The following is a 21,568-nucleotide window of genomic DNA, read 5'->3' on the forward strand; positions in this document are numbered from 1 at the left end:
GGAGCCCGGCCCTGCGCTCGGCTCGACTCGGCTCGCCTCGCGGCGGGCGCCCTCGTCGCCAGCGGCGCACCATGGACGGGCTGCCCGGTCGGGCGCTGGGGGCCGCCTGCCTTCTGCTGCTGGCGGCCGGCTGGCTGGGGCCTGAGGCCTGGGGCTCACCCACGCCCCCGCCGACGCCTGCCGCGCCGCCGCCACCCCCGCCACCCGGATCCCCGGGTGGCTCGCAGGACACCTGTACGTCGTGCGGCGGCTTCCGGCGGCCAGAGGAGCTCGGCCGAGTGGACGGCGACTTCCTGGAGGCGGTGAAGCGGCACATCTTGAGCCGCCTGCAGATGCGGGGCCGGCCCAACATCACGCACGCCGTGCCTAAGGCCGCCATGGTCACGGCCCTGCGCAAGCTGCACGCGGGCAAGGTGCGCGAGGACGGCCGCGTGGAGATCCCGCACCTCGACGGCCACGCCAGCCCGGGCGCCGACGGCCAGGAGCGCGTTTCCGAAATCATCAGCTTCGCCGAGACAGGTGGGTCCGGCCCTCCGGCTGTCTGCCGCGGTCCCCGCTCGCTCCCGCTCTCCCTCTCCTTGCTAGCTCCGGCTGCCACCGCCGCCACCGCAGCCCGCGCGCCCTGGGGCAGCCTGGACTCCCGGCAGAGCTCCTTCGGCCGTGGCCCTGCGCGCTCCGCCCGGGTTGCAGTCCTCTTCCCCCAGGCCGCAGACCCTTGCCTGCTGCCTCAACCCCCCGCCGCCGATCGCCTGGCCCTCCACCCCTGCTCTCCGGAATCGGGCCCCAGCGCCTCTGGGCGCGCGTCCCCCTCCCGGCAGATGCGCGCGGCCCTGGCTCTGCGGGCACTTGCTTGGTGATTGCTTAATGTTTTTGTTTCCCACGATCGGAGTGTAGGCTTAGCAGTGTGGATGGAGATGTGTGTGCTTGTTGATATACGTGGGCCGGAGGAGAGAGAGAGTGTGTGTGTATCTGTGTGTGTGTCTGTGTGTGTGTGTGCCTGCGTGAGAGGCCCCTGGGGCCGCTTCCATCACCGGCGGCGTGGGCTTGCCAGGATTGCTGAAGCCTCGCTGGGGAGAGCTAGGCAACCTCTCTTCCGATTGTGTGGGCACCGGAATCGGGCGGAAGGCAGGCTTCTCAACAGGTCCATCATTTACACAGAGAAAGCCGCGGTTCGGGGACAGCCCCGTGCCTCTCGGCTTGCCTGGCAGCTGCAGCAGACCCCTCGCCCGAGAGGCAGAGTCGTAGTTAACAAAGGGTATGGCTCCTTTCTGGAATCCGCCCCCCCCCCCGGCCCCAGATTGCAAATCTCTAACACTGTCTAAATATAAAAATCAGGGAGAGAAAAATCTTTCGGAACTTTAAAAGAAGGAGAAAAATGTGCCCGCGCCAAAATGCTGCAAGTGCTTTCGACTCCGCTGTCCTTTTCAGGACTTGAATGAGCCAGGCTGGCTTTTGTGCCTGGAGCTCGGCCCCATTTGTGCCGAGGGGACTGCGGAGAAGGTCGCAGAGGGGGAAGCCCCGGTGCAGTTAGGGCGGGGGCAAGCGGGGAGCCTCGGTGGGGGGAGCGGTTGTGCCCCTGGCTGCAAATGCCCCCCACCCCACCAGGCAGCAGGCAGCCCGGGGATGAAAAGGGATGAAAAGTTTTGCATGGCCGGGTGTGGAGAAAAGCAGAGACAATCGGGGCTGGTTTGTGCTTAGAAAGAAATGCATTGCCGTTTTAGCTGTCCACTAAAGTGAGTCAGGGAAAGCTCGCCATGCAATTAGAGGGCTCGGATTAAAAGGTGCTTTGGGGCCCAGAGTTAGAAATGTGATTCTGGAAGGTCGAGGAGGCCTTTTGGTCCCGGTGGCACAAAATGACAGCGGGGGCTGTTATATTTCTGGTCCGTTTCACGGAGCCAGCTCTTTGACTTATAAATAACAGATTCAGGTCACAGGCAGCTCGTCCAAGACCAGCTTTTAAGGCTGCAGTTTCCCCCATTTCAAAGTCAGATGTCAGTGTTATTAGAGGAGCCAGGCGAGGCCTGAGGTAGGGGCTTGGGAGGGGCATGGTGGGAGGTTTGATAAAACCAGCCCTGACCACAGAGTTTCATTATTTGTTCTTCCTGAAAAAAAAAAAAAAAAAAAAAAGGAAAGAAAAACGTAGATTGTCAGAGGCAAGGGTCACCGGAATGTAGGATGAGAGGGGAGTCATCTCTTGATTGGCACAGCCTCCTTCTTGTTGAGCTGAATTATTGAGAAAATTAACTAGCCAGCTCCCCTACTCCTTGGGGATTTTGAACGTGCCATTAACAGGGAGCCAGAGTCTTGTCAAAGGATTGGACCTCAAGTTTTAAGGCTGAATGTCCTGTCCCTTGAAACTATTCTATAAGGGCTAGGCTCTGCAGCCTGCAAAGCACACGTTCCTATGTCAGAAACCTGAGCAGAGCCTGCTTGTTTGCAGTGGAGGTTCCACTGGGGGTTGGATCACATCATACTTAGGTAAACACTGGAAAGAGGCGGTAGGTGGCTCAGCTTGATTTTGCAATGCGCTAAGTTAACCAAAAAAAAAAAAAAAAAAAAAAGCCCTACTAAAACCACCCACCCCAAAATCCTCCCTGCGATCCTGGTTTTGTTTTTCAGATTTCACAGATACCCATAACAACTTGTTAAGATCTTGGCCCCCTGACAAGTTCTTCTGTTGTGCTTTGAGGCCTGACAGCCTGTCTCCAGGGAGCCCTGGCCTGGGAGAGGTGAGGCAGGATTTTATAGGCGCGGACCCTCCAGCCCCAGCCTGGTCCGGGTTTCTCAATGAGAAACGATTTTCTCTGCCTCTCCCAGGTTACAGTCAGAGGCCCTGGCCCCAAGAATGGTATTTCTGGTCAGTAACGTTTTCCAGCTGTGTGGCGAGTTGCATTCCAGCATCCTGCAGCAGAGAGTGTGTTTCCCCCATTGCCTTGTGTTCTCCTTGAATTAACTTGGCTCGCCCTTCCCCTTTTCCGCAGATGGCCTCGCCTCCTCCCGGGTCCGCCTATACTTCTTCATCTCCAACGAAGGCAACCAGAACCTGTTTGTGGTCCAGGCCAGCCTGTGGCTTTACCTGAAACTCCTGCCCTACGTCCTGGAGAAGGGCAGCCGGCGGAAGGTGCGGGTCAAAGTGTACTTCCAGGAGCAGGGCCACGGTGACAGGTGGAACATGGTGGAGAAGAGGGTGGACCTCAAGCGCAGCGGCTGGCATACCTTCCCACTCACGGAGGCCATCCAGGCCTTGTTTGAGCGGGGCGAGCGGCGACTCAACCTAGACGTGCAGTGTGACAGCTGCCAGGAGCTGGCCGTGGTGCCGGTGTTCGTGGACCCAGGCGAAGAGTCGCACCGGCCCTTTGTGGTGGTGCAGGCTCGGCTGGGCGACAGCAGGCACCGCATTCGCAAGCGAGGCCTGGAGTGCGATGGCCGGACCAACCTCTGTTGCAGGCAACAGTTCTTCATTGACTTCCGCCTCATCGGCTGGAACGACTGGATCATAGCACCCACCGGCTACTACGGGAACTACTGTGAGGGCAGCTGCCCAGCCTACCTGGCAGGGGTCCCCGGCTCTGCCTCCTCCTTCCACACGGCTGTGGTGAACCAGTACCGCATGCGGGGTCTGAACCCCGGCACGGTGAACTCCTGCTGCATTCCCACCAAGCTGAGCACCATGTCCATGCTGTACTTCGATGATGAGTACAACATCGTCAAGCGGGACGTGCCCAACATGATTGTGGAGGAGTGCGGCTGCGCCTGACAGTGCAAGGCAGGGGCACGGTGGTGGGGCACGGAGGGCAGTCCCGGGTGGGCTTCTTCCAGCCCCCGCGGGAACGGGGGTACACGGTGGGCTGAGTACAGTCATTCTGTTGGGCTGTGGAGATAGTGCCAGGGTGCGGCCTGAGATATTTTTCTACAGCTTCATAGAGCAACCAGTCAAAACCAGAGCGAGAACCCTCAACTGACATGAAATACTTTAAAATGCACACGTAGCCACGCACAGCCAGACGCATCCTGCCACCCACACAGCAGCCTCCAGGATACCAGCAAATGGATGCGGTGACAAATGGCAGCTTAGCTACAAATGCCTGTCAGTCGGAGAGAATGGGGTGAGCAGCCACCATTCCCACCAGCTGGCCCGGCCACTCTGAATTGCGCCTTCCGAGCACACATAAAAGCACAAAGACAGAGACGCAGAGAGAGAGAGAGAGCCACGGAGAGGAAAAGCAGATGCAGGGGTGGGGAGCGCAGCTCGGCGGAGGCTGCGTGTGCCCCGTGGCTTTTACCAGGCCTGCTCTGCCTGGCTCGATGTCTGCTTCTTCCCCAGCCTGGGATCCTTCGTGCTTCAAGGCCTGGGGAGCCTGTCCTTCCATGCCCTTGTCGAGGGAAAGAGACCCAGAAAGGACACAACCCGTCAGAGACCTGGGAGCAGGGGCAATGACCGTTTGACTGTTTGTGGCTTGGGCCTCTGACATGACTTATGTGTGTGTGTGTTTTTGGGGTGGGGAGGGAGGGAGAGAAGAGGGGGCTAAATTTGATGCTTTAACTGATCTCCAACAGTTGACAGGTCATCCTTGCCAGTTGTATAACTGAAAAAGGACTTTTCTACCAGGTATGACCTTTTAAGTGAAAATCTGAATTGTTCTAAATGGAAAGAAAAAAAGTTGCAATCTGTGCCCTTCATTGGGGACATTCCTCTAGGACTGGTTTGGGGACGGGTGGGAATGACCCCTAGGCAAGGGGATGAGACCGCAGGAGGAAATGGCGGGGAGGAGGCATTCTTGAACTGCTGAGGATGGGGGGTGTCCCCTCAGCGGAGGCCAAGGGAGGGGAGCAGCCTAGTTGGTCTTGGAGAGATGGGGAAGGCTTTCAGCTGATTTGCAGAAGTTGCCCATGTGGGCCCCAGCCATCAGGGCTGGCCGTGGACGTGGCCCCTGCCCACTCACCTGCCCGCCTGCCCGCCCGCCCGCATAGCACTTGCAGACCTGCCTGAACGCACATGACATAGCACTTGCCGATCTGCGTGTGTCCAGAAGTGGCCCTTGGCCGAGCGCCGAACTCGCTCGCCCTCTAGATGTCCAAGTGCCACGTGAACTATGCAATTTAAAGGGTTGACCCACACTAGACGAAACTGGACTCGTACGACTCTTTTTATATTTTTTATACTTGAAATGAAATCCTTTGCTTCTTTTTTAAGCGAATGATTGCTTTTAATGTTTGCACTGATTTAGTTGCATGATTAGTCAGAAACTGCCATTTGAAAAAAAGTTATTTTTATAGCAGCAAAAAAAAAAAAAAAAGAATACAGTTAAATGTATTATACATAATTTTGGAACCAAAGAGGCCAACAGATCAGTTTTAATTTTATTAGACGGTGAGGCCATCTGAGATGAGGTGGACGTTCTGAGCAGTCCCTTGAGTGGCCTGCCAACGTTTCAGGGTATGAATGGATTTTGTTTATTCGGTTTGATGTGTCTTTTCCATCCTTACACACCCAGAAGGTAGAGTAAAAATGACTATGATAGAATGCAGGTGTGTATCCTTAAATCCTCATCTTTATGTTTATTTAATAAAGCTCCCCTTAGATTCTGTTTCATAATAATTTAAAACCAAACAATTTTCCCATAGACTTGCTGTTAAAGTATTGTACGTTTGTGTACAGTTTAAGAAAATAAAAGATTGAGTGCCACGGGCCTCCTGCCTTGCGTGATGTCTGGGGCAGGGAGGCCTGGGCTGGAGGTGGGCAGCTGGGAGGAAGGCCAGTCCAGGTGTCCAGGTTGGATGCCAGCAGCTTCCACGGCCTGCTCCTGGCATCTCTGCGTCCTTGCCATGAGATGTATGTCGGGCAGAGATTCCAGGAAAAATGGCTGAAGATCAAAATGAAGGACAATTAGCAAATTCATGAATTACACATTTGTTTATCCTGCTAGTCCCAAGATTGATTATGTTTCACCAAGGCCACATCCATTACCATTTGCAAGTGCTGGGTAAGCCCCCGTCCCCAGGTGGAAATGTAAAACCCTGAAGGCTGAAGTCCAGCTAACCTCTGCTCACCTCTATTTGGAGGTGACTGGGACCTAGAAGTGGCTTGGTATCTTGGGATAGAAGGGTAAACAGAGTCAGGCTGTGAGTGTACGAAGGAGCCCTTCCTGAGGGGGTTTTCCCGGTGGAGAGTGGTGGTAGGGGCGGTGTAGTAATAATGGCCCACTGCGCAGGTGTAACTGGGATACCCGCCGAGTCCTGCTGTTACCATGCAGCATCGCATCTTTGTGGAAAGTGGCTTTGTCTGCATTTCCCAGAGTTTGAAAATCTGAGGCTTAGAGAGTTCAGAGCCTGCCTGAGGTCAGACATCCAGGACAGGGACCCTGGTGTTTGAGCCCACCCGTTTCCTTGGAGGACTGCAGCCCTGTGCCCTTGCCTTTGTCTGAGGCCCTGCAGGGCTGCTGGGGCTCCGCCCTGGGGTTTGGGTAGCATGTGGTCTTCCCAGAGCACATGGCACTTTAGAGAGCATGTAACCTCATCAAGGTAGTGGGAAACCGAGGGAGGCCCAGACAGCTAGAGGGGTATAGCTCAATCAGCACAGCCAGCTGGTGGCAGGAGGCAGCCTTCTAGCCTTTTCTTTTTCCATTCTTTGCCCAACCAAGGGAGCTACTGCCCTGCCAGGCTTTCAGCCCGAGGGGAAGACTGGTCATCTGTGAAGTTGTGAGACAGTATTACTGTAATTCACAGGGGCAAAGAAGAAAGTGTCATAAAGACAGGTCTGGCCTGTGCATTTCAGGCAGTGAGTCACGACGTCTCTGCCCTCTGCTCTGCGGGGGGCTGGGCCTAGCTGCTGGTGGCACTAGGCCCTCAGCCCAGCCCTGCCTCCCCGCTGCCCTGGGACTTTTTTCAGGTAGCGGCCAGGAGGTGCGATGTGAGCCACTGAGTTGCTTCTGCTGTTTGGACATTGAGCACCTACCAAAGCCCTTCTGGACTGAGCATCCCAGGATGGCCCCATGAGTAGCCCCAGGAAGGGCCTGGGGACCCCAGGGGCACAAGGCCTTGGGGCTGGCTGACCTGGTCCCTGAGTGACTTTGCTGCCCTATGCTGGCTCCTGTCCCTGTGGGGTCTGGCCCCCGGGGGCACTGGTGGGCAGCAGTTCCTGTTGCTGAGAGAGGCAGTGAGGACAGGCACTGGTCTCCTGTCCCAGCTGGGTGTCCCCTCTCCAGCAGGGCCCTGCAGCCTCCTGTGCTGCTGTGGTCACCGCTCCCCTTGCTCTGCTTCCCCCCACTCGATGCTCCAGCCTCTCCCGTCTGCTCTTCTTATATCCCCAGTGGCCCGGCCCAACGGCCCTGCCTTTCTCTGAAAATGTCCCTGGAGCCCAGCTCTGCCCCCAGGTCCAGTTCCTCTGGCTGGACTCCCCGCTGCTGGACTTCAAGGTCCCCAGCCCTTCTTCCCTCCAGCCCTCCCTGCCTCTTCCGGCTTCCAGGCTGCTGGCTTCTCATACTCATCCCCAGCCCCACCTGGGACCAGTGGGACAGGAAGGGCCTGCCTGAGCCGGAAGGCCGCCATCCCCACCCACCTCAAATGCCTCCCCCACCTATCTACCACCATGCCTGGGATCCCACCATGCGGGGGTCACCCTGGCCTTCAAACATGCCCCAAGTCCTCAGCGACTCAGTGGAGCCCATGGCCTGGGCTGGGGCACTGGGGTCAGGACAGCACCCACACCTGCCTCACCTCTGCTCCCCCCATTTCCCAGACAGGCGGCTGAGGGGCTCAGTACTTGGAGGCTCCAACTGTATGCTCTGTCTGTGTTTTCTCTCCCAGCCCTCCCTCCCAGGGTCTGGCTTAGAGTGGGGCACACAGGGTGCCCTGTGGCGCAGCCCAGAGGTGGGGCCAGCATTTAGGAGGGGCTACTAGGTGTCCGAGCTTTATACCTGTTACCTGTGACATGGCGTGATACTATTGCCTCGGGCTTTACCAGAGCTCCAGGCCATGGTGTCCCTGCAGCCTCTTGCGCTGTGGCCGGGCTCCTGACTCACCTGGAGCTCAGGCCAGCCCAGCATCACGCCTGCCCAGACCCGCCGCAAGGGACTTGTAGGCCATCACAACTTGGAGAATCCTGCAGCTGCCTAGAGCTCCCTTGAGGACCAAGAGCGAGGATAGGAATGGGGGTGGGAGGTCACAGGTGGCCACCAAGCCATGAAAACTGCTGAGGGCTTAAGAAAGTGTGGCTTTGCAGGCAAAAAGTAGAACTCAAACACCGTTCTGCGGGGAGAGGCCCTGGGAGCGCCCCCAGCCCTGTTTCTAGGCTTTCGATGGGAGCAAATGACAAATTAACGGGGTAGGCTTTGAAAGACCTGCTGATGGTGGTTGGCTGTAGATGAGGCGTGGAGTGTGAGCATGGTGGCTGTGGGGGCTCTGTGTCGTGTGGGGACTGTGGGCGGGCAGTCACTGGTGTGTGAGGCTGTGCGTGTGTGAGGTGGGCGTTGCTGCTCATGGGTGTGGCCTGGGTATCGTGGGTGTGTGAGTGTTGGTGATGCACTGTTTTGTGATTGTAGGTGTTACTGTGTATGCTGAGCCACGTGGGGCTTGAGACTGTGATCGTGGGCGTGCGCGGTTGGCTGTGAGTTTGTAGTGTACGGTTGGCTGGCCTTGAGGTTGTGAGGCTGCGTGGGTGAGTGTGTGAGACTGTGTGTGGGGTTTGAGACTGTGATTGTAGGGGTGTGGTTGCATGGCTGGCTGTGTGCGTGTCTTGCCATGTTCGTTTTCTTCCTTACGGAGAGGTGATGCACCTAGCCAGTTATGTACGTTGTGATTGGGGTAGTTATCATCTTGCAGTTAGAATCTGTGATCACCCTCAAACCCGGCAGATCCTGAGAAGGTCTGGTGCAGGCACTATTTCTGTGGTCTGTGCAGTTGTCCTCAGTATGGTTTCACAGTACCTGATGCTCTGCTCTGTCTACACAGTGTGCTAGGGGTCACCTCAAAGCCAGAGCACTTTAAAGGGAGAAAGGTACCATCTGGTCAGTCATTCAGTCACTCAACAAACATTCCCACGGTGCCTGCTGTTATGTGCAGGGCTTCATCCCTCATCTCAGTGTAGTGCTCACAACAACCTGGAGGTGGGGGAGCAGGTATCATTATCCCCATTGTGTAAATGAGAAAACAAAGGCCGAGAGCAAGGCAGCCGTTCACTGAAGGTTGCGCAGCTCTAGGACTTGTCCCCAGCCAGCTGTTTCCAGAGTCACTCACAGCCCCCGGGCTGCCCAGGAGGAGGGATAAGGGGAGGGGCAGCTGTTCTGGGGTCTACCTGGAAGACAGGGGAGGCTGCGGTCCCGGGTGTTCTCAGCGTTCTTTTGGGAGGGGCCTGCTCCCCAACTCCTGCCCTTGGCTCTGGCCTCAGGCATCAGTGGCAACTGTGCACTGAGACGTTCTTCTCTGCGGCTGTGGGGAAGCCAAACACCCAGCCGTCCATGCACCATCTCTGGCCAGGTGGATGAGATGGCTGCTGCACCCAGGGTTGGGGGGTGGGGGCTGAACAACTGTCATTGTGACTAGTCACTGGGAGCATGGGCTGTGGGTCGGCCTCCCTGGCTTTGCGATCGTAGCCTGGTCCAGCCTCTCAGAGTCATCCTCTGTAAAATGGAGCAATGACAGTGCCTACCTTAAGGGGGTTGTTAGCATTCACCTGGTTAGAAGGGCCATGCTCTTGAGTTGTTTTGCTGTTTTCTGGCACATTCTCTGTGTCAGGAATAGTGCTGGGTGCCCAGCCAGAGCCCTGCCCTTCCTCTGAGAGGCCCTCTTTCATTCTCAGCTATTCATTCAATGAATATTCACAGAGGTGCAGCGATGATGATGTTGACTACCATTTATTGTTTACTGTGGTCAGATACAGCGCTTTGCAGCAGCTTTGTAGTTAATCTCTATAATCTCCCTCTTGGGCAGGTGAGATGTACCCATTTTACTGATGAGGAAGTTGAGGCTCAGGGAAGTTGAGTATCTTGCTTGAGGCCTCATAGCTATTCGAGGGGAAGACCCGGGCCTGGCTCTTCTTGAGCTCGCAACCCAGTTTTGAGGCCACTGGGAAAGTCACGTACCCAGAGGGGAGCCACCCTAGGCCCTCAGAGGAGCAGGCCCTCCAGATACTGCCTTCTCTCCCTTCAATGTTTCCAAGAAACTCGTGGTTCCCTGAACCCTGGGGGACTTGGGGTAGGAGAGAGAGCTGCTGTCATGGCAGAGGGGACCTGGGAGCTGCTGGGGTTGCCCTGGGGGGAGCCTTTCAGAGCCCCTCAGCTGCCCTGCAGCTCTCCTCCTACCCCATCCCCATAGGGGCCCCTGAGGGTCTGGCTACCTTCAGAATCAGGTGTGCACACCTGCAGGTCCCACCAGGTGAGAATGGCCATTCTGCCAGCAGGAAGAGGGAACTGTCTGAGGTCATGGCAGACCTGCAGGGAATCTGATGAGGGTGAGGACCCTCTGAGTGTCTGAGAAAAACACTGACCACATTTTCAAGTGGGATTTCAGGGAAGGGTTTTTGGACTACTTGGGATACATAACCATGTGTGGGGAGGAGTAGGGGAGTGGGGCGGAGACAGGCATTGTGGAATGAACCAACTACTCCCTCCCAGGGAGGAGCTTCTCGTGACCTTCTCTCCTCTGGGGGAGGGGCTGCCAGGGTGGGGACAGCGGTCTTCGCTCGGGAGGCAGAGGCAGATGGGCAGCTGGACGTGCCAGGCTGCCTGCGCCTCCCCTCCTGTGCAGAGCAGGGTCTTGTTCTGCCCTCTTTTCTTCTGGCGTCTCATCTCCCTCTTTCCTTATACCTTCCATCCCACCTCTGCTCCCGGGGTCTGCTCTGCCCAGCCCCAGGGACAGAGGTGAGGCATGGGGTGGGGTGGGTTTCCCAGTGCCAGTTCCAGCCCTTGCCTGGAATGATGGGGGCTTGGTTTGCCTGCTCAGCCCCCTCCCCACCTCTTCCTGTGGGGTCTGTGTGTGGAGCACAAGTCAGGCCCCAGGGTCCCCAGGGGCCAGGGTCAGGCAGGGAGGGAGACTCTTCCTGGCCACCCTGGGCACCTGTGTGTGTGTGTGTGTGTGTGTGTGTGTGTGTGTGTGTGTCAGTGGGTGTGTGTGTGTGTGTGGATCTGGAGGATTCTCCTAGGCAGCTCCCGGTCTCATGGAAACAGCGCTGGCTCTTCTTGAGCTCACAACCCAGTTTTGAGGCCAATGGGAAAGTCACATACCCAGTGGGGAACCACTCCAGGCCCTCAGAAAAGCGTTGTGAGCTTGTCCAGCCTTCGAGGGGCTTTCTGGGTGTCCTCTCACTCCTCACAGGAACCACAGAAGGGAGATAAGTTAGAACTATTATCCACATTTGCATGGGAAGCTCCTGGCGGGCGACTCTCCTGGCAGGGCCGCAGAGCTTAACCCCACTCTGCGACAGCTCTCCCTGCCTGGGAGGGGCCCTGAGTGGCCTTGCTCTTCTAGGGAGGGGTTTCAGTGACCCTCTCAGCACAAATAGCCTGACCCCCAGCCCTCAACCGTGATGGCCTGAAGTTGTAGAAACCGGTTCTTTTGGGAACCTTACTCCTTCACCTGCTTTACTTGCTTTACTCCTGGGAAGGATGATGCCTCAGACGCTTTTTAGGCAAGTCGTGCCTATTAGAATGGCTGGGAATGGGAGCGTGGAAGGGGCACAGCCCAGGTCCTGCTCTGGGCTGCACTGCAGCTGGGGGATCGCAGAAGATCCTTTTCCAAAACATGCCTGTGGCATTCTCCTGCCCCTTCCGGGTCATGCTGTCAGTGACCCTGTCCCTCTCATCCATGCACCTGGGAAGAAGGAGTCTGATGTCCCCTGGGCTGCCCACGGCCCCCGGCCCTGCTTACCTCCCCACTTGGAGCTGGTGGATCCCTCCTCCTGAAAACCAGGCTTGGGCATCGGGTCCCACCCACAGCTCACCATCCTCCACCTCTGCACCTTTCAAATGCCCTTCCTTTCCCTGAACTCCTTTCCCCCACCTTTGCTTGGCTGATTGTGATTTATCCTTCAGGGCTCTGGGCTAGAAGCCCTGACTCCCACAGCTCGTGGAACCCGTCTCCTGTCTTGCCTGCAAGATCACTTGCGGTGTGCACACCCGCTCCCCTGAGAGTCTGCAGGCCTGGATTTTAGGGGAGCTAGAGTCTGTGTTGCTCACCACACCAGTCTCCTGAGACTGGGGCAGATGAAGTGCTCAATACAAATTTTAAAAATTTGTTTCTGCTTTTATAGTTTTAAAGTCTTAGATCTTTTTGTATTACTTTAGATCTGGGGTTGGGGGGTGCGAGACACGTGCAGATTTGTTCCATGGGCGTTTGCAGGTAGTGAGTGTGGTCACCAATAGGCAGTTTTTCAGCCCACTCCCCCACACCGCCCCCTGCTCCCCCGACGCTGGTCATCCTCAGTGTGTGTTGTTCTGTGTTTATGTCCATGTCAATACACACTTATTCAATGAACGAAGGCACATCCATCTCAGGGTGAGAAGTTAACACCCCTCACCCATTTTCCTGCTGGAGCAACTGAGGCTGAGGGGGTCAGCAGGACCCAGGGAGAGGCTCAGCCCTGGCTAAGACCAAAGCCAGCACTCTCGACCACGCCTTTGCTATTTTTCTTTCTTTTAGGAGCACCTCATGCCCCGCAGGTGATTCATGTAATAGCATTTTCAAAAGCCTATAATTTGCGCCAGCGTTTGCGCTTCATGGTGAAGCTCAGCCTCATCCGTGCCGCAGGCAAAGGCAATGCCAATCCAAACGGGTGGCAAGCTGGGCCCGGGCACCAGGGAAGATCAGCCTTCCCGCTTCCTCCCTGCACCTCAAGGAAGGCAGCCCTTCCCGCCGGCATCTTCCACCTTCAGGAGAGTGTGGTTTGTCACCCGAGGGTGTCTCATAGAAGCTCAGCTTAATTAATCAATCGCCGACTGATGCATTGGTTAACGCGGGGCCCCACTCCCCCGTGAATGATGGGCGCATTAATGAATGCCAATTATTTCAGCATTAATAATTAATCTCCAACCATGCCGGAGAAGGAGTGGAAAGTACACAAGCCTCGAGTCAGCTCCACGAGCCAGCCTGCCACCCCGTGCTGCTCACCGCCTTGCCCAGAGTATCTGAGCGGGGCCTCTTTGCTACTGCGGGGCGAAAAAGCACCTTGGACTGGGCGTCCGGGGCCTGGACTCTGGTTAGGAGCAAGGCTGTGAGCTCCATGGGGGCAGGGGCTGGGCCTGCTTGTGCATTGCTCTATGCCAGCACTGGGATCAGTAGCTGGCACACAGCAGGTGCTCAAGAGATGCTTGCTGGTGGCTGGCTGTACCCAGGCCCTGCCCCTCAGTGGTTGTGTGATCTCAGGCAAGTTTTTCACCCTCTCTGGCCTATAGTTTTCTCGTTTGAAAAGTGAGTGGGTTGGACTAGAGGGTTCATTTATTTGTTCATTCATTTCTCTAGTAGGCACAGAGTCTGTTCCCTACACAGAAGGCAGCATCCCTTTCCCTCTGAGGACAGTTATCTGCAGCCCATAAGGATTTGTGCTGTGGCTGCTGGTCATTCCTGTAGGAGAGGCTGGGCTTCTGCCGGCCTGGGAGGGCATCAGGAGTGGCCAGTTGTCCTGAGCTGGCATCATGTCAACTTCAGGTCCCAGGCGAGACCTCGGTGTGCTCACTGGCCCGCACCTACAGGATTATGCTGTGGGCCTTGGTGGCTGGGGTGGTGACTCCAGCCATGGTGGTGGGACAGACTGTTGGCTTCCACACAGCATTTCCCCTCTTCTGAGCTCCAGTCCAGGATGGTCCCTCACTGCCCAGGGCCTGGCACCTGTCCCAGGTAGGTAGGGGGTGGTGGCCAGCACAGCGAGATTTGGAAAGGGTGGTGGTCTCGCCAGCAGGGGGGCTCTTCTGGGTAAAAGTTTAAAAAGAAAGCTTCTGTCCTGTCATCGATGAGTTGTGGGAAGGCAGACACTCCGAGGTTTAGTGGCTTTGGGGGTGGGGTGAAAGTGGAAGACCTTTCACAGGCTGGTTAGATCTGAGAACTATGGAGAAGCCCATCTCACCTCTTTTCTCTAGGTGGGGAAACTGAGGCCCAGAGAGGAGACTTGCCTGAGGGCCCACAGCTAACGGGCACAGGACTACGGGGCCCCTCCTAAGCAGAGGCGGAACCCCCAGGTGTCATCCTCACCTGGCATGTGGTCCACATGAGTGTGAACTTGGCTCTAGAGGATGAGAGGTGGTCACCAGGAGGGCTTCCTGGGGGAAATAGGCCTCTGCTGGATGACCTTCAGGCACCTTCCTGCAGGGTCTGTCCCGGGCCCGGGCTCCCTGCTCCTGGGCCTGCTCTATGGCTTCCCAAGAGGGTGCACAGGCCAGGGTCTAAGAGGGTGGGTCTGCCCATGGACCAGACATGGCTCTGCAGACCCCACCCTGTCCTAGCTGTGGGCCTTAAGGCTGGTGACTTAACTTTTCTGTGCCTGAGTTCGCTCATCATACAATGGAGCTAAAAATAGTATTCACCTCCTGGGTTTGTTGTTCAGATTAGATGAACTAATAATACCCACAGCTACTACTGAGTCAGTGCTCACCATGTGCCAAGAATCTTTCTAAGCTCTTTACGTGTTTTAATCCACCTGACCCACACAGCTCTGGGAGCTGTTGGCATTTCTGTTCCACAGATGAAGAAACTCAGGTGCACACAGAGGAAGCGACTTGCCCAGGGTCACACAGCATGGCAGGGAGGGGCTAGAATTAAATCCCCTGCGTCCTGGGTCACATGCTGAGTCCCCAGCCCTGGTCTTTGGGGTCTGTACCCTGCTGACCTTGTGAGGTGGGCTCGCCCCAGGGAGGGAGGGGGTGCACCCTCTCTCTCCTCCCGCCTGTCCTCTCAGGGCCACCAGAGTGACTGTGATCCTCCTTCCAGGACAAAGCTGAGACAGGGCTCCGGAGTTGTTTTAGGAAATAGTGAAGCAAGCCGACAGCACTGATTCCTCCGGAGTTCATGTCATCTTATTCCCTATCTTTGGCCCAAAGATCCTTCTGCATCAGCGGGTGCGCATGGATTCTGTCTGCCGACACCAGAGCCGCAGAGCCAGACACAGATTGGTGAGCAGTGCTTATGCGTTGAAGGCACTCAGGTTCCATCATGGAACCAGGTCGCCCGAGGATGCTGACCCCATGGAGGCAATCAGGCTGCAGAGAGCTCGAGGAACGCCTGTCCCTGTGAGCTGCTCAGGGACCTAAGCTCTCAGAGTGTCACTGCCGTTGATTCTGGAACAGAGTTTGCAGGCCAAGTCCACAAGCTAAGAATAGTTTTTTACATTTTTAAATGGTTAAAAACAAATCAAAAGAAGAAGAATATTGCATGATGTGAAAATGATATGACATTCAAACTAAATGCCTATACATACAGTTTTATTGGGATGCAGTGACCTCATTCATTTATACGTTAGTTAGGACAGGGACCCATATGGCCTGCAAGGCCTTTAGGGACTTTGGCTGACCCTTTGCAGAAGAAGTTTGCTGGCCACTGATCCAGAGGCTTCCTTGGCTGGCAGATGTCCCAGCAGACCACCACTGCTCCCCTTCTGTCCTCCTCCTGGGACTCTCTCCTGGGTGGCCATGCTGCTTCCATGACCCTCCTCAGCTGACGGGTTCACCTGTGGCCCTGACCAAGACCATCACAGTTTCCTGAACATCAAAATGCATTATCAGTGAGTCTGTTGAAGACATTTAGAGAGTGAGGATCTGGAAGGCTGAGGGTGGCACTCTGTGATTCTTCAGAGCCCTTCTCATGCCCAGCACAGGACAGGACTAAATAAATAAGGGAAACAGATGGGCATTAAGACCAGCAATACCGGCCGGGCACTGTGGCTTATGCCTGTAATCCCAGCACTTTGGGATGCCGAGGCGGGAGGATCACGAGGTCAAGAGATCGAGACCATCCTGGCTAACATAGTGAAACCCCATCTCTACTAAAAATACAAAAAATTAGCCTGGCGTGGTGGCAGGCGCCTGTAGTCCCAGCTACTCGGGAGGCTGAGGCAGGAGAATGGCGTGAACCCGGGAGGCAGAGCTTACAGTGAGCCGAGATAGGGCCACTGCGCTCCAGCCTGGGCGACAGAGCAAGATTCCGTCTCAGAACAAACAAACAAACAAACAAAGACCAGCAATACCACCTTACACCCCTTAGGGTTGGCTACTATCAAAAACATAGACAGTAACAACTGTTGGTGAGGATGTGGAGAAATTGGGACCCTTCTGCCTTGCTGGTGGGAGTGCAAAATGGTACAGTCCTTGTGGAAAACAGTATGGAAGTTCCTCAAAAAATTAAAAAAGGTATTACTATGTGATCCGGCAATTCCACTTCTAGGTATATATCCCCCCAAAACTGAAAGAAGAGCCTTGGAGAGAGATTTGTACGCTGATGTGCGTAGCAGCATTCTTCACGTAACCAAAAGGTAGAAGCAACACCTTTGAACACAGTGTCCCTCAGCAGGTGAACGAATAAACAAACGTGGCATCTCCATACAACAGAATATGATTCCGCCTTCAAATGGAAGGCATTCTGTCAACTGCTACAACATGCATGACCCCTGAGGACATTATATTGAGTGAAACAAGCCAGTCACAAAAAGGCAAACTGCATGATTCCACTTGTGTAAGGAAGTCAACGTGGAGTAGTGAGATTCACAGAGATGCAAAGTAGAATGACGGTTGCCGGGGGTGTGGGCAGGGGAATGCAGAGTTGATTTTAATGGTACAGAATTTCAGTTTTGGGAACATGAAAAAATTCTGAAGCAAGATGGTGGTGATGGTTGCACGACGATGTAAATGTGTTTAATGCAACTGAAGAATACACTCAGAAATGGTTAAGATGGTAAATTTTATGTTAGGTATGTTTTACCACAACTAAAAATTTTAAAAACACCATAAAACGCAGCAGCAGAAGCGCCTTCCCCCGCGGGCAGCCCCGTCTCCAGCCTCACTGGCGGCCGCCATCCATGTCCTCTAGCCCCACGGTCCTCATCCCTTCTCCAGGGTGGGGTGCTCCAGAGCTCCCTCACCTTCCCCAGCCCATGAGGTTCCTCTGTGAGTGAGTGGGTGTGTGTGACCTCTTCCCTGAGATGCCAGGCCTCACCTGAGGCAGAGCTGGAGGCAGGTGTCATAACCACCCCAGAAACCTTAAAAACGGTGCCCAGGATGGTCCCTGAGAGAGTAGGCTGCCTCAGGAGCCTCTCCAGAAAAGGTTGACATGCTCAGCTATGATGTTAGGCCCTGGCCTAAGGCTGGGCCACCTCAAAGAGCAGTCTGGCCAGCTCACCTGGTTGGGTACAGTCCTCAGGACTCAGAGACTCACGTGGGCCACATCTAGAATGGCCACCACCTTTCCCTTGCAGGCCCACAGCGAGTGTGAAGCAGGACTTTGAGCGTGTTCTCTTGGCCACGCATGGAACAGGCACTCTCTCATCTCATTTCATTCTTACACAGCTGTTCAGTGAGACCTGGGCACCATGAGTGCCTGCCCAGCCTTGGATTGCTGCCAGGCTTCAGACCGAGGGGCTTGGGGGGATCTGGACAGGTCTGGAGCCTGGGGCCTTGCCAATTGGGGCTCTGAGACCCAAGGGCTGATGTGGGGGTCAGGAGGGCACCAGGGCCTGCCAGGAACACTTGGCTTTTTTCCCTAAATGTTTTTCTGAAACTGCTCTGCTTGGGCCTTGCATGTCGGCCCTTTGTAACTGATGGGTAGAACCCAGAGGAGAGGGCAGTGCCCAGGCCAGAGCCGGTAGCTGCAGGAACATCAGTGGACACACACGGCAGGGGTGCCCAGGTGAGTGGGGAATAGGACGAGAACTGTGGTCCTCTCAGGGGCTGGTGACTGAGGGGTCCTGTGTGCTAGACAAAGCCATGACGCGTGTCTGAAACATCTTCCATCACATGTTCACAGTTCTTTGTAGGGCGCCCAAGAGGTTATTGCGGGAGCCCAGTGTTCTGGGGGTGGGGGTATCTGAGAGGTCTTCCTGGAAGAGGTGGTCCCTGAGCCAAATCTTGCAGGACAGATGGGAGTTGGTCAGAAAAGAAGGGCAGAGGGAAAGGTATTTTCGGAAGTGGACACAGCTGCGGCAAAGGCCCAGAGCATGTGGCCTTGACCTGCAGTGCCCCCCACTCCCCAAATGTCCCCCCAAGCCAGGCCTCTGGGAGGTGCCTGTGCTGCCCCTGCCCCTCATACCTGCTTCACGACACATCCCCTCCTCCCACTCTCCCACCTCAAGGCCTTGGGAAGCGTCTGAAACCTCATTTGCAAGGCCCTTCAGCGGATGAATTGAATGTGAGCATCTGTTTAAAGGGACACTCACATTTTCATTTTTAAATAAGAATATCATTCATTGGTGGCTTCACTATCATGATTGTAAGGCATATCCATGGAGAGAATTAGGAAAACCCAGGAAAGTAAAAGGAAACAAAAAATCACCCATAATCCCAGCAACCATAAGGTGCCCACAGTTAACATGTTGGTGAATTTGCACACGTGTGCGACTGCCGTACGTGACTGTGTGTGCGCTGCTACGCTTGTCTTCTCCATATAATATTACAGTATGAGCGCTGCCCCTGTGCCGTCATTCTTCAAAAAGAGCATTTTGGTGGCTGTCTTTTAATTTAGGACCCTTTCTCCTTATTGTTGGATATTTAGGATATTTCCAGTTTTTGCCCTTGATAAACAACGCTGCAGTGACCATCTTTGTCAATTGCACCATTGATGGGTATGCTTGCTGACCGCCAGGAATGGTACTATAATGGTGAGGAGAGGTGCCTGGACAAGCAGGCTGGAGATTTTCAAGCTTGACTGTGACACAGAAGCCCTGGGTGTCTTGCTAAAGCAGATTAAGGCTTTGTGGGTCTGGGCTGGGCTGGAGAGAACATTTCTAACAAGCTCCCAGGGGAAGCAGAGATGCTGGGAGAACCATACTTTGAGTAGTGTGACCTCTTTGAAAAGTCTTCCCTGAGGTGACCACCAACTGGGGTGTGGGCTCTGGGGAGAGACTTGCCGGTCAGGACTTCTGTGCCCTGGGCACTTGGAAAGTGCAAACCACTGGGGCTTACCTGAGGGCACCAGGCAGTTTGCAGCCAATTGGCTCTGCCCTGAGCCCTGCAATGGCTCTCTCAGAGCTGCACGGAGGTCCCTGACTCTCAGCCGTCCTTGGGGGTCCCTGAGACTTCTGTGCGGCCAGCCTCATTCTGGCTTCAAGCCGTGGTCTGCAACACAGAGGTTGGCCAGCCAGGGTCACTCTTCTCTAGCCCCTTGGTCCCCCCTGTGCCTCTGTGCCTTGGCCTGCTCTGTGGCTGCCGGGGGCTACGGGGACTCCTTCCTCTGCTAAGGGTTGCTCTTCTGTGACAGAGGTGCCTCTTTTTTCCCATCAGCAAAGTGGGCTAATAATAGCTCCCACGTCACAGGAACAGTGTGTAGATTGACAAGGCGATCCGAGGGTGGCGGGTGGCCCGTGGCAGCACTCAGCACTGTGGACTCTTATTCCCATGAGCAGTGAGCAGGTGGCCAAGGGGGCTGGGACAGGCAGAGCTGACTCCAGTGCTGGCTTCCCATTTGTGACTTCGTGTCTGTGTTCATCTGTGAGACCCTCTGTTCATTCCACAGCTCCTTACTGAATGTCTACAAGGTGTCCGTTCTGTAGTAGGGACTGGGTCCATAGTGGCTGATGAAGCAGACATAGTTCCTGTTCTTACAGAGCTCATTATCTAGTGAGAGTGACAGATACGGACAAGTAAATCGACGCTGCAGTCAGGGAGGCCTGCTTCAGATGGGGTAGTGGGGAACGCCGAGCTTCAGAGGGAACAATTCAGCTGAGTGCTAAAGAAGGAGCTGATTATAGAAGTGGCTGTGTCAGGGTGGGCTGGGTCAGGCATTCCAGACAGAGGGGACAGCATGTGCAAAGGCCCTGAGGTAGTAAAGGGCTTCTCTAGTGGAGAAACTGCAGAAGCCTGGTAGAGTCAAGCTGGGGTGATCTAGGAGAGGACACAACTGTCACAGGTCACAGGGGCAGCGGCCTTTGTGGGGAGGAACACTGAGGGGACTTTGGCAAGGGTGTGGGAATCTGACTTATTCTTTCAAGGGATCCCCTGGCTGCTGTGTAGGGAATGGACCTTGGCAGGGGGAGAGAGGGGCAGCGAGCCCAGCCAGAGGCTCCTGCAATGTCCAGGTGGTGTGGAGATGTGCAGAAGAGCCCAGACTTAGCTGGACTCCAAAGACAGACAGGCAGGGCAGCGAGGGGCAGGCAGGCTCAGGGCCACATAGCTGTGGGCTGTGCTATGGAGGGGCGATAGGGAGGTCCAAGCAGGAGACTGACCAGGGTCTCTGGGGCAGGCCAGAACTGAATGGCTAACCTCCAAGGGCTGAATGTGGGAGGCTGTGTTGCTGCCCTCCAGGGTGACATGTGGGACCTACCTGCACAGCCCTGACCTTCCCTGCCCAGGCTGCCCTGGAGCCATGCCACAGAATCAGCTGGGGCTCTTTGTCTTTGCCGTCTTAGGCCTCTTGTCCTTGGGGCTGGGAGATGGGGGACAGTCTCCATTAGGTCATGAAGTGGGTTTACAGGTCTTGTCCCATTGCTTCCTCCCCATGGCCTCATTTCTCATGAAAGAGGATACAGAGCCGTCTATGGGCCAGAACTCCCGGACACCTGCGGGGCTAGTTCCCATGAGTGGAGGCTGGCATGTGCGTGTGTGCATGCTCATGTGTGTATGCGTGTGTGCATGTGTGTGTGTGCACGCTTGTGTGTGTATGCGTGTGTGCATGTGTGTGTGCATGTGTGTGTGTGCACGCTTGTGTGTGTATGCGTGTGTGCATGGGTGTGTGTGTGTAGGAGGATGCTCTGGGGGATGCTGCATGGGGTGGGGCAAGCCGCATGCTGGGAGTGAGCTGGCTGAAGCTCATCCTTCCCAGATGAGGGCCCCACAGGCGTCAGCACAGCCTCCAAACTCACACAATGATGAGAGCCATTGGATTTCCCATGCTCAGGCTATGGTTAAGGGGCTGAAGTCTGCCTGCCAGCAGCCTGGGTCACCAGGGGAATGGGATGGGCAGGGGGAGCCATGAGTCAATGAAGTGGGGAATTTGTAGAAACTGTGCATGGGGGTCGGGGGGAGGTTCTAGATGCAAGCAGACTGGGAAACTGGCAGTTCTGGCCAAGCGTCCTGAAGGTCTGAAGGGCAGGGAGTCCCCATGCCCTACCTGAGCAAATGGGCCCAGTCCCATGGGTTGCCTCGGGGGTGGTGTTCTCCGAGCCACTCTCCTGCATCTTGTGGGCTGCCTGGCAAGAATGTCGGCAGGTGACAATGGGTGGGGAGGGAGATGGCTGTCAAGAGGAGGTCCACCTTGCTGGCTCCCAGATTCTCAGAAGGCTTTGCAAACGCCCCTGTTCCTGGGATCGCATCACTGAAGTCTCAGGAGGTATGCAAGGGCCGAATCTTACTTACTCTAACCTTTTCACTGGCTGCCAGTGAAAGGAGGTCCGGAGACACTGCTTACTTCCCCAAGGTCACACAGTGACTAGGAGACAAGCAAG

The 21,568-nt window shown here is 55.6% G+C and overlaps 1 protein-coding gene across 1 annotated transcript, besides 3 other annotated features; it reads left to right on the forward strand.

Moving 5' to 3' along the window:
* The first annotated feature begins 18 nt into the window (after nt 1-18).
* INHBB (inhibin subunit beta B) lies at nt 19-5,686 on the forward strand. The gene is made up of 2 exons (NM_002193.4): nt 19-519; nt 2,982-5,686. The coding sequence occupies exons 1-2, from the start codon at nt 72-74 to the stop codon at nt 3,755-3,757; spliced, it is 1,224 nt and encodes a 407-aa protein (NP_002184.2). The 5' UTR covers nt 19-71; the 3' UTR covers nt 3,758-5,686.
* Nucleotides 6,466-7,169: an enhancer, noted in NCBI's record as "H3K4me1 hESC enhancer chr2:121110159-121110862 (GRCh37/hg19 assembly coordinates)". NCBI's record gives its function as "activates a minimal SCP1, AML or CMV promoter by ChIP-STARR-seq in naive H9 embryonic stem cells {active_cell/tissue: H9 hESC(naive)}" and the evidence as "EXISTENCE:reporter gene assay evidence [ECO:0000049][PMID:30033119]".
* Nucleotides 7,170-7,871: an enhancer, noted in NCBI's record as "H3K4me1 hESC enhancer chr2:121110863-121111564 (GRCh37/hg19 assembly coordinates)". NCBI's record gives its function as "activates a minimal SCP1, AML or CMV promoter by ChIP-STARR-seq in naive H9 embryonic stem cells {active_cell/tissue: H9 hESC(naive)}" and the evidence as "EXISTENCE:reporter gene assay evidence [ECO:0000049][PMID:30033119]".
* Nucleotides 10,401-10,976: an enhancer, noted in NCBI's record as "H3K4me1 hESC enhancer chr2:121114094-121114669 (GRCh37/hg19 assembly coordinates)". NCBI's record gives its function as "activates a minimal SCP1, AML or CMV promoter by ChIP-STARR-seq in naive and primed H9 embryonic stem cells {active_cell/tissue: H9 hESC(naive and primed)}" and the evidence as "EXISTENCE:reporter gene assay evidence [ECO:0000049][PMID:30033119]".

Source organism: Homo sapiens, chromosome 2, assembly GCF_000001405.40.
Source record: "Homo sapiens chromosome 2, GRCh38.p14 Primary Assembly".
In the NCBI taxonomy this organism is placed as follows: domain Eukaryota; kingdom Metazoa; phylum Chordata; class Mammalia; order Primates; family Hominidae; genus Homo; species Homo sapiens.

Bases quoted from the DNA above. Each gene is read 5' to 3' on its own strand.
- INHBB (NM_002193.4), top strand. From the start codon at position 72: ATGGACGGGCTGCCCGGTCGGGCGCTGGGGGCCGCCTGCCTTCTGCTG. The intron at 520-2,981 runs GTGGGTCCGGCC...CCTTTTCCGCAG, and splicing joins CATCAGCTTCGCCGAGACAG to ATGGCCTCGCCTCCTCCCGG.